This window comes from Homo sapiens, chromosome 2, assembly GCF_000001405.40.
Source record: "Homo sapiens chromosome 2, GRCh38.p14 Primary Assembly".
Lineage (NCBI taxonomy): Eukaryota > Metazoa > Chordata > Mammalia > Primates > Hominidae > Homo > Homo sapiens.
In genome coordinates this window covers 181889544-181901561 of record NC_000002.12, presented here as the reverse complement: position 1 = coordinate 181901561, position 12018 = coordinate 181889544, and the positions used below count along the sequence as shown (strand labels likewise).

General features: G+C 37.3%; 1 protein-coding gene across 13 annotated transcripts in view, besides 2 other annotated features; it reads right to left on the bottom strand.

The window, feature by feature from the left end:
• ITPRID2 (ITPR interacting domain containing 2) overlaps positions 1–9832 on the bottom strand; it is a 39009-nt gene extending 29177 nt beyond the window's left edge. For 10 of the 13 annotated variants that reach the window (NR_109843.2, XR_923000.4, NM_001130445.3 and 7 more), the window contains exons 1-7: positions 9285–9832; positions 8902–8947; positions 5483–5532; positions 4598–4654; positions 2643–2682; positions 2450–2548; positions 658–866 (exon numbers count right to left, since the gene is read on the bottom strand). Coding sequence is in view for 11 of the 13 variants with exons in the window: in NM_001130445.3 (NP_001123917.1) it covers positions 658–866; positions 2450–2548; positions 2643–2682; positions 4598–4654; positions 5483–5532; positions 8902–8947; positions 9285–9495 (712 nt within the window). In the remaining 2 variants the exon portion in view is untranslated. Of the gene's footprint in view, positions 1–657; positions 867–2449; positions 2549–2642; positions 2683–4597; positions 4655–4938; positions 5011–5482; positions 5533–6863; positions 8948–9284 lie in introns of those variants that run through there. The other 3 variants (NM_001287504.2, XM_047445597.1, NM_001287505.2) reach the window with 3 other exon arrangements.
• Positions 9196–9335: a silencer, noted in NCBI's record as "silent region_12160". NCBI's record gives its function as "represses an Ori minimal core promoter by ATAC-STARR-seq in GM12878 lymphoblastoid cells {active_cell/tissue: GM12878}" and the evidence as "EXISTENCE:reporter gene assay evidence [ECO:0000049][PMID:35858748]".
• Positions 9626–9955: a silencer, noted in NCBI's record as "silent region_12159". NCBI's record gives its function as "represses an Ori minimal core promoter by ATAC-STARR-seq in GM12878 lymphoblastoid cells {active_cell/tissue: GM12878}" and the evidence as "EXISTENCE:reporter gene assay evidence [ECO:0000049][PMID:35858748]".

Below are 12018 nucleotides of genomic sequence, written 5' to 3'. Positions count from 1 at the left end.
ATTTGTATTTTTAAAAAATCAGAAATAAGCACAAAGCATAATGGCAACATTGAATAAAACAGAAAGAACTAGCTATTGAATCTACAGTTGTGATTCTATTCTGAAGTCTTGAACTCCATTAAGACTCTTTCAAAATTCTCCTAAGAAAATGCATGTAAGCATATATTTTATACCTAATTTGCAGGGTGAGGGATTTATTGATCTCTTAAAACTGATCCATGAACAATGCAGGATTGGAATCCTATTTTTGGAATCTTTGGCTAACAGAAAGAAAACAAGCAAAGATATGAGTGAAACTGATCAAATTAGCCAGACTAGTTCCTGAAACAGACTGACTTCATTTAAGATTAACAAGGCTCCTCTCCTACTTCTTTTCTTCTTGAATAAAAGCAATCTGTAGACAACAATAAGGTTCTGCAAATAAGTTATGGTAGCACTTAAGTCAGGAATTGGGGAGGAGGGGAAAAATAGGCAAATTAACCACTATAAATGGAGTAATAAAATAGCTTAATTTTAACATGTAAAAATGGCTTTTGCGTTAATCAATCTCTTTACTTTCCAGTGCTATTCCTGAAAATTAAGGCTTTAAAATAAGACCATCTTGCTGTAGATGCTATAATTTAAGAAAATAATATGCCTAACACTTAAAAATCTTACTTGTTAAAGCATAATTTGGGTTTTCTACTTCCATCCGTTGCATCTGAGCACTCAAAAATACTTTAATATCTATCCCTTTGGCAAAGGATGATGAATTAAAAAATCTGGAAGGAATTTTAGAAGCAATATCTGGTTCATCACGTCCAAATCCAAGATTATAAAGAATTTCTTCAGGATCTTCCTCATAAAGTTCCAACAATTCTGAAACACTACAAAAAAAGGGGGCAAAAAAGGAAACATGAAAATATAAAATAAATTGATAGTCCACACCACATTATAAATGAATACATATTACTGATTTCCTGTGATAAAATCTTTTTTCTCAGCTTCTGCTCTGGAAACCATTATTTATTTTACCATGTTTACACATGTGTACTGGGGAATAAATAGCCCTTATAAAGGGTTCATTGTCTCAAGTTGCTAGAGTTGCAGAAAAGAGCTAACCCCAACGAACACAGTCAGAGATTCCCTACGTGATTCCTCACCTTATTTGTTTTGTCATTTTAAGAGATTCCCTGTAAAGCAGCTAAAACAAGTAGAAGACAGATGATGAAGAATAAGGAATGAACAGATTAAAGCAGAAATTAAAAGGAACTGAGGGACATTTTGTGAAATTTGAGCTTTTCTGTTATCCTTGTCCTAGGAGTGGCAATTGTCCTAGGAGGAACAATAAAGATAACAAGCTGATTTCAGAGAAGCGAGGGAGGAGCTTACTTTCAACTTCTCTCCAACCACTTCCACTCAGGAAGTAGGAGGAGTAAGGTACAGAGAGTGTGGGTTACACAAAGGTAACTACTCTAATCCTATTGGGAATTAAATATTTAGTATCCCTTCTCTCTCATACCAGTGATAATCCAAGCTTTCTAAGACTCACTGAAGAAAACAGGAAAGTTAGAGATGGAACTTCAACAGAGAGACATTTCAATTTGTTTCAGACAAAATGCTCAGATTCTAATATTATAATTTGGATAACAGTTTAAACTGGATTCCATAGGCACATGCACTGATGTATTTTAATATACTATATGTGCGGGCGGGAGAGGGGCAAGGGTATTTTTCTGTTTGGCTTTTTTGAGACAGCGTCTCACTCTGTCAGCCAAGTTGAAATGGAGTGGCACAATTATAGCTCACTGCAGCCTCAACCTCCTGGGTACCACTTCAGCCTTCCAAGTGGTTGTGACTACAGGTGGATCCCACCATACCCAGCTAATTTTTGCATTTTTTGTAAAGACAGGGTTTCGCCGTTTCCCCATATTGCTCAGGCTGGTCTTGAATTCCTAAGCTCAAGTAATCCACCCACTTTGACACTCCAAAGCACTGGGATTACCGGTGTCAGCCACTGGGCCTGGCTATACTATATATTTGAAAGATCTTTGGTTTAATGTGTTGAAAAAAAGTATGCTTAAATATCAAGCTGTAACTTAGAAAAATTTATTCTGATTTTTGTGTCAGAGTTAACTCAAGTCCTTAACAATGAATTTTGGTTCTCTACAACTACAAGTTACTCCGCTATGGAGTTCCTCTTTCAGGCTGTTGAGAGGGCTCAAAATACTCATTTATGGGTTCCAGCAGCAGTATAAGCCTATTTATTGCATTTTATTTAATCTCAAAGTAAAACAAAACAAAACAAAACAAAACAAAAAGCTCCTATCAGTTGTGCTGGTACAGGAAACGCTCTTTTTGTGTTCTTTCTGATTTCATATGATCAAGGTCAAATCCAAGATTGAAAAAATGATAAGAGTAGGTCATCTATAGCACAATGTAATTCCAACACAATTTCAGAATAAGTTACCTTGAAACTGTCCCACTACTTTTCCCAGATCCAGTGGAATTCATACTTCTCCCTTTCTGATGAAACTGTAATCTTCTCTCTTTGGCCAAGATATTATTGCTACGAACAAAATCAGATTATATAAAACTTTATAACTTTATTTTCATTAAAGGTCTTCATTTTTTAAAAGAAATAGAACAAAACAGCTACATACCAGTTTTCAATTTGAGCATCACTTTCATGGAGGTGGTTGGCTACAGGTAAAAACAATAAACGTAGAGCACAATTGTTAGTAGGACTATAACTACTATGATACAATTATCAAGAAATCTAATTACCTACAATATTAGAATTAAATGCCAAATATATTAAACACTTATCTTGGTCCATTAAATCTGCATTATTAAAAGTGATATACAGATAGATAAGAACAGGGCCAGGAGCTTTTGAAGGGTGTTTTTGTGTTGTGGCAACATGAAACTAACTACTCTCACTTGAGTGCTTAAAATAAAAAAACGTATAGGGAACCAGTTAAATTTCTTTAACAGGTTAGAAATAAGTAATGAGGAAGATATGTACCATATATGTGGTACTAATTATTAAATTTAAAAGCTATTAATGAATAATATCTTAAGAGGAAAACATGATTTAACATTAAGTGTGGCAATAGTATATGTCAGTTTCTAATGTGAATTTTTTTTAAGGTTATAACTGATTTTTCACACATATAACATGAAAATTTCTACTTATTTCAATATAAACTTTCTTTTAAAAATTGCCTTTCAACTTTATGATAGAACTTTAGCTTAAAGTTCTAAACAGGTAAGTGTTAATGTTTAAAGTTAAATTTATAGACAAATACAAAGAATAAAATTAATTATAAACACATCTATTTCAGCACACATGAATTGCTTTTCATTTCTGATCTACAAAGTTATGACAATTTTGTGTTTCTTTGTACATCCACCAGAAAGGTGCCTAACTCACAGCACTCAGTAATTATTTACTTAATGAATGGAAATAGCCTTGAAATAATTTTCAGTAAAACAACATAATAGATTTACTCTTTCATGAGACTCCTTTTTAGGTTCTGGTTTCCAATAAAATCATTCAATATTATCAAACTACCAAGGCAAATATCAAAAGTGCAAAGTGCATTTTAATAACGGATTGACAACATGTTCAATTGTACTGAGTGGGAATCAGTAAGTTTAAGCTCTTTATAGAGCTTGAAAATATATGAACAGAAATAATAAGAACTAATATATTTGCATATTCCAGAGTTTTAAATGTTAGAAGGTTCTAAATAAGTAATTTACTTTACAGATGCATTTGAAACAGGAAAAAATCAAGAATATTAAATTCAATGTATAAATTCACTATTCACCAACTTGTAAGCTTTAAAGACTTTTTAAAAATCCTTGTTTTTTTTAAAAAAGTACACATTAATAACTGAGCTATACAGCTATGAATAATCTATGCAATTTGATCAATGAGCTATAAAATAGCTTTTAAAACACCAGTAAAATAATTAAAAATTCTTATTTTTTGTACAAGAAAGCTTTATTATAAATCTACTGGAAAACATTACATAACTTGTAAAAACTTTTAAATAGCACAACACACTTTTTAAAATCTAATGCTTTCTGGAATAAACACCAGCATGATTTCTAATAAAATTCTATTAGCTCTGCTATTTTGTCTTTCCCCTTTAATTTTCTAAAAATCAGGAAAATGGGGAAAAGACAGGAGACACTTAAATGCAAAGAGAAAGACAAGCTGCAGCTGTAAGTATGACATAAGTCTATTTTGCGCTAAAAATAAGCTTCAATTTTGTTTTCCCATGTATAAATATTTAAGTGTCCTTCCTTTTTCAGGACAATTCTTCCCTCAGTTATATTACCACGGTTTGTTACAAACTGTTCCTTTAAGCATTTAGTCCAAGAAAGACAGATGGACACTTCACATAGTTTTTCAGAGTCATCCCTACATGTATCCTACAGACTATGACTAGATTATTAACAAAGAAAGGTAATGTAAAATATGCCTGAGCCATTTTCAAGACCTTTAAATTTAGCTTGAGGATCATAAACCTGAAACCATTCAGCTTTCTCATTTTTTTTAAATTTGAAAACTACACAAAAATACAGTTCTTCCAAACAAACATACCTTCAGCTCCCAATGACAAATCATCTTCAAAACTTCCTCCATTTCTCACAAGCACACCTGAAAGACACATTTGAAAACTCATCCTGGTGTTCTGTTCCTCTCCACCCTCATATAAAATCACTGTTTTAGTTAAATTCACCCAGCAAAATATCTTATACAGTAAAATCTTTCAGACTTGAATGTACTCAGACATTATTCTGATTATATAACTTCAAGAAGCAGGTATAAGCTTTTACTTTAACGTAAAGAAACCACTTTTCCAGCAACATAAAGTTCTCAGAAGCCAACCTATAGGCTGTTTTAAACTTATATTTTTGAAGATGTTCAATCAGACTACATACCAAGAGTTTCATGGAAAACCAGATCCTGGAGCAAATATTCTTCTTATCCATCTCATATTAAGTCAGGAGCTGGATTTTCCTGACACTGTAAATGTTTTTTTATATGCCTTGCCACTGCCTGCACATGCTTGTTGTACTTTGAACTTTAGAATTCTGTCTTGAACAGGTGGTAAAATTTTAGGTGTGGCAATTTCAGTAAATGTAAGCAAAGAAATGCTGCACGAAAGTTGACTAAACTTTTGTTCACTCAATAAGTATTTTCCTTATATTTGCATATTATATATTCATATTTAATTAGTCTTTATAATACCTAACTGGACAATAAAGATATAAGTTTCACGTTGTGAAAAGGCTAGGCAATTTGCTTAAACTCCCTACTGTTTTACGGTTTATAACAAAGTTTCTCCATTTTGCTTCTAGCTCAGAATAGCATATACTATAAACATGAATATCACTTTTATAAGTCATATATACACTTTTACCCAGAGGACAAAGAAGTAGAACTGTCATAAAGAACAGATTTAGAAAGGCAACCTTCTCTTACCCTTGAGTGTACTACTGCTTTGTTCATCCAGTGAGGCTCCCAAAGGTGTACTGAAACCATATAAACGTATAAGCCTTAGTCTTGTGAAAGGCTATTTGGAAAGTTGTCATTACACAGCCTTACTTAAAGAGTTACAGCTCAATAAGCTTCTAATCACAGTTAAACTCTCCTCCAAAAACACACAAGGAATGCAAGTAGATTACATAAGTAATATTCACTAACTAAGCAAATACCTGCCATCAGGTCAGTTCAGCAGGAATGATTTAATCATGTCTGATGTGCTAACAATTAGGGGCAAAAATGGCAATGACAAATGATTTGAATTGGCATTTTTCTTTGCAAAAAAGAGAGAATGACTGACAATAAGCATTAAGAAAATGTCTGTTCTTCTCAACCCCTTCCATCAAAAAAGAAAACAGAATTAGAAGAAAACAAATCTTCAGTCATAGGTAACTTAACCTTAATAAAATTAAAAAGTGAAGAGTAGTTGGAAATGAGGCCCAATAGTTTCCTTAAACCTCATCTGTTAATCTATCACTAGCATTTCAGAGCATCACCTAATGCCTCCCCCTTGCCCCAACAACTATCTTTTTATGTAAATGTAGAAGCTTGAGATTCGCTTTGTTTTTAAGCTAAAAAATATATATATTCTTCATTTAACTTTGAAAATTACTAAAAAGTTGACTTGAGAATCAACATTAAGATTAGCCATTGCTAAAATTTTTTCATTCTTGTAGTTCAAATACAGATGAGAGAAATATCTTTTTTTCAAATACAAAAATAAACACTTTTAATTCTCTGAAACCAAGTTATAGTAAGAAACACATTGTTTTATATTGGAGGGTCTGTTTTGTGATGCACACCTTTCTTCAGTAACAATTTATAGCTGTTAAAAATTCACGAGACATGGGATCAATCATGAAAATATCAGTTTCAAGGAAATGTTACTGAAATGCCAATTAAAGGTTAAAACTTTCTACAAGTATACTAACAATGGCAGCTCTTTAAAACTTAGTGCTTTTGAAACGTAAAAGAATCACAAGCAATTACCATAAATATATTAATAAAAGCTTTAATCTATTTTTTGCATATATTTTAATAAAATTCTAATGTATGTCTTTAAAAAGTCATCCTTCCCTGATGGCTACTTTCTTGGATGTAAACATTGTATTACTCTGTCCACAGATGTCTCTACTGGTCTATGCACTAACAGAAAATGGTAGATAAGCAGAGTAACAGGAATCCTCCTTCGAAAACAAATATCTTACTTTTATAGTTGCTCCCTTCCAAATTCTATCAAAATCTCTACCATTTCTTAAATGTTAATTCAAGCAGTTTTTACTTAGTCCCCCCACAAATGGTTATCAAAATAAAGACTCCCTTTAAGGAAAGAAAACACGGTATCTTTATTCAGGATATGGACGGCACTAAGAAACAAAGACTATTTGAGAACTTATCAAGTGGGTAAAATGCTGTCTTCAGGTCATTTGTACATAATAAACAAAATACATAGATGCCCAACTCTGAGAAGGAACTTGAGTTGTTATTTAAAACAAAAATACAGATGCAACATATCCTAAGTCGAATCTGTGATAATATAGCCAAGATTAAAAGACTACTTGTTCTAGCTTTCCTGGATACAAATGAATGCCACTCTTGTGTAGAATAGGTGCAACTGTAGGAACAAGAAGGTAATCCATGAGAGAAGGAGCAGCAGACTACAGAATCTGCCCACATAAATCAGTATTGGCAACAAAACTTCTGAAATTGTCAGGGATTGACTGTGCCCTGGTGAATGTCAACATTTGCCTACTGCATTTGTCTCAAAAAAGATGCACTTATTTACTGTCTAATTGATAGGATCTCTTATACAATCTTAAATCCTATATGTCATTAAACTATAGTGTGATTCTTCTCTTGTTCTTAATTTTTAAAATTCTTTTGAATATGCACTTGAATTTAAACAATAAAACATTATAAATGTATTTGTAATGCTAAGCCTATTTTAAGAAACCTAAAGTAAGCCAATACTGTACTTAGGACTGTATTTAAATAAAGAGTCAGATTGGAGGCTTTAAAGGACTTAAGTAAAAGTTACAAAACAACTTCTCAAACACATTTCTAAGTGGAAACCTGAAAGATACTAGTTTTATCAGATCTCACCCAAAAGGTCTTGAACATGTACATTCAAAATTTCAAGCTTTTACATTATAGACTATTTTAGTATTTAACAATTAAATGAACCAATAGCACATTAATACAATTTCTTGATCCATACTTTGAGTGAAGTATCTAATATCTAAGGCTTATCTGAAAACTGGGAGATTGATTTACAGCTAGATTGTAAATCTGGGGTCCAAGGACTTCAAGCAGTGTATTTGCCTCTGTGCATCTTTAAACAGAAGTTATTCCATATATGTCATCATATTTCAGAAGGGTCTATGACACTTCCAATAAAGGGTACGAGTTCTGTAATAAAGAGTGTTCAATAAGGTTCCAGTCGATTCATCAAAACAAGGCATTAATATCATGGTAGCCAATATCTTGTCTGTCTTTAGAGGAGGCAAACTGGCATATGAATCACTTTCCACAACAAAACAAAACAAACTACCCTAACTCTAATATTTGAACAAAATATTAAGAAAATCTAAATTGAGAAAGCAAAAATATGCTCGAAAGCAAACACCAACAAAAGTTTAAAGGCTACATTCCTGATTTTACAACTAGCAAAGTGGAATAAGAAACAAGTACATTTTGCTGTAGTCAGATTTACGTGCAACATGATTCATCTCCTCTGTATTTTATCAAACATTTTTGTACCAGTTGCCAAAGCATGTAATTAAACAGATTTATGCAGTCTGAATGCTTTTAAAAGTTCTATTCCCTGAGAATTCCAGTGCCATCTGACAATTCCATGTTCAAGAAGTAAACTATAAGTACAAAGTTAGCTAGTTTTAATAGCTCCCCAAACAGAAACAAAATTAAAGCCCATTTAGTGTAGTTAGGTAAATTAAACTCGTCTAAAACACATTTGAAAGGAAAATGATTCCGTGCCAGTTGTACAGATGCCAAAACTAAAGCAAAACAAAATATCCTGTTCGAGATGTGAGAATTCTTTCAAATAAAAACAGAACAAATATGGCATGATTATCTGTTCTGGATTTCTGATCTCTGATGCTAACACGATGCGTGAGTAGCTCAAGTCCTAACTGTAAAGTCAACACGGTCACCAAATAATCAGCGGTCACAGCACTTCCATTTCTAATCGCTTAGAGGAGGAAGCTATCCGCCGGCTCACTTTCCGGTTTGTAGCTTACAACGGTCGCGGGACCCACAGGGACGCGGCCCGAGTGGCTCTGCTCCGGCGTCCCGTCCGCACGGATCTCCCCCGGGACGCGGGCGGACCAGGGAGCACTCACCGGCAGTCCTTGAGCCATATCGCGATCTTCTCGTTGGGCACGTTTCCTGGGGGTAGAGAGAGGGGACAGCACGTTACCACCCAGGAGCACTACGACGGCGGAGTCACCCTGGACCCTCCCAAGTAGGAAAATCTACCACGGCAAATGCAGCCTAAGCGACACGTCTCAGTGTCCCTTGGCAGGGAAATCGGATGGCACCCAGTTGTCTGTGTTGACGCTGGGGGCGCCTCGTTCAGCGCGCGCGTTTGAAGGTCGGAAGTGTCCCCTCTCCCCTCGGCCTACCGTGCCCGAGGCTCTCCCAGAACTCGTGGCAGGCGCCCAGGGCGCACGAGACTCTCCCCAGCCCACCAGCCTCCCCCCGGAGCCCGGCCGGGAGCACCGACCTCTTCCCCCCGCTGCCGGCAGCTGCGCGCCGGGGAGGTCCTCCTCCTCGTCCTCCTCCTCGTCCTGCGTCGTCGCTTCTGTGGACAGATCCTCCGTCTCCGACGCTTGCCAGGAGCTGCGGCACTTGGCCCAGGCCTTCCTCCTGCGACTCGCCACTTGCCACTCCAGTTCCTCCTCCGCCTCCGCCGACGACGACAGGGGCCGGTCCATGGCCGCACTGGGGGCTCCGCTACCCCAGCCGGACCCTGCGCGAGACAAGGCGGCGGCAGGGACCCCCGCCCTTGCTGTCAGCGCCCGGCCGGGCAGGGGGCCCCGGGGAGCTGAAGCGGGCGCCGGAGGAGGAGGAGGAGGAGGAGGGGACAGGGAGGGAGGGAGGGAAGGAAGGGGAGGGAAGGGGCGGAGGGCCGGCGCTTCACATGAAGGCGGCCGGGCGCGCGCGGGAGCGCTAGTGGCCCGAGGGAGCGCGGCTGGGAGCCGAGCGCCCGCCCGGCCCCTGCTCCCCACCCCCTGCCTGACGCGCCCGGAGCAGGCCGGCCGCTGCGCGTCTGCGCGCCTTCCCTCGGCGGCGGCCCACGCCCCCTTCCGGCCGGGGCCGCGCGGGGCGCGGTAGGGCGGGGCGCGCCCGGCGCGACGCGGAGCAGGCCAGCCCCCGACTACTGCCCGCGGAATGGGCAAGATTAGTTTGTTAATAATCTTTCCTCCTCTCCTCCTCCTCCTCCCTCACCTAAAAATAGAACGTAAGTGGGGAGGCCAAGTCTCACAAAACATCCCCCGCGAGAAAACAAGTGTCTGCTTGGGCACCCTGAAACATACACTTGAAAGAGTCGCCTGAATATAGACTCTTTAGTGTCCAAGGAATTGGGGTAAGGACGGAAAGAGGTGCTTGATTGGTGTTGCCAAAATGTAAAAACTGCAAAAGACTAAGCTTCCTGGAGTGCTACTTTCATACTTAAAGTTATTTATCGTGTTTATGTTATGAATGAAAATGAATTGTGAAAGGATATTTAATCTGGAAATTTCACATTGAAGTTGGACTTTGGTGAGGGAGAATAGAGGAAACAATTGGGACAATGTGGAGATAGTTGCTTGGATTTTGGTGAGACAGCATGATACAAGAAACAAATGATGTCAGGGTTCAAAACTTTTTAAAGCCAGCTTTGGCATTCCGTTTTGTTATGTTTAAATTCTCATTAGCAAAAATACTCAAATTCTATCCAAAACCAGACACAATGTGACAGACCTATCAAGCAGCATTGTTCCCCTAAATGTTACATCTGAACTATACATATAAGTAAGGCTTCCAATATTTTATTGTACTTGGCTATGCTCTGAAGAACAAGTTAGAACACTTTTTAAAATCTTAACGTGATTGAAAAGAATATTTTGCGTAGACAAAATATTTTAAGGAAGGAATTATTTTTCATTTGAAATTAAAATCCAGAGCATAGTAAAATTCCTAATGGAAGCATTCGAATTACAAGGTAATTAAGTGCATTGTCATTGATAGCTACAGGAAACCATAACTTTTGGAGAATTTGGAATGAAGAATGCTCTGGAGATGAAATAGTGCCTAGTTTTTGTCCAGGCATTTACACATAAGTCATAGACTACTAAAATAGCACACTGATTTTCCTGCCTTCATTCTTTCCTATCTCCTTTCTAGCGCATTGCTCTAGATTTACAATTCCAAGACATCTTCTAATGGTTTACTAATATCCCCAAGATCAAATCCAAAATCCAGACTAGCTTTCCAGAACCATCATAATATTCTCCTGAGTCTCATCTATGTACTGCCAAATGTCAGGGGAGTTAGAACAGTGATATTAATATCTCTATGGCTTGAAATTTCACTACTAGAAAATCTTTTCTTTGAACCTATAAGACTTTCTCAGCCTTCAAGGGTCCTGTAGTAGGATGCAGCTAACAGTTTAATGGCTCTCCAAAATAGGTCAGAGTCTCGCTGCCTGTGTGGAAGATGAAAAAGAGAATGAATAAAGAAGGTACCTAAGAAGAAGCATTGAAAGGGCTGGTCAAGTGCCACAAAATATGCTGCCTTCAAAGTTTTATCCAGGGTTCTTACGTATCCACCCTGTTCCTCTGCTGCTCCCAGCTTCAATTCTATCATATCTAAGTGCTGTTGCCTACTCTGTCTTTGCTAATTAATTCATTCCTGTTCTTTCTGTCCACTACCTTCATGACTTTCAAAATCTAGCTAAGCCAGAACTTTTTGACTCCACCATTCCACCACTCCTGATCACACCCCTCCCACAGGGATCTGATATACAACAGCATGTCTATGTCATTTATTTGGGGACTGGATTGTAGAGTAAATAATATGACTGGCCCTGGAAGGTATGTTTGGCTTACTAGCCAGATTGTAAATTGTGAGAGATGATAGAACATTCTTCAGTATTCTTGCACCCCTTACACTTTTAAATGCTGATCCCACAAGGGATAATGGGTCTTCTTGAGGTAGTTTCTGTTTTCTGTGTTCTTCAAAGAGACACCTAAATTGATTATTTTAAAATTTGCTTCATGTTATTTCTATAATGCTTATATTTTATTTAGGTTTGCAGTTGTTTAAATACACTTTCAGATGACAACAACAAAGAATTCTTGTGAAAGGCAATAATTAACCATAGTTTAAAAAAAAATCAAACAACCAGAGTCAAGTAATAAGGGGGAAAAATTACCAGCAGGTAACAAAGTAGAATATATACATTATTCAGTTTC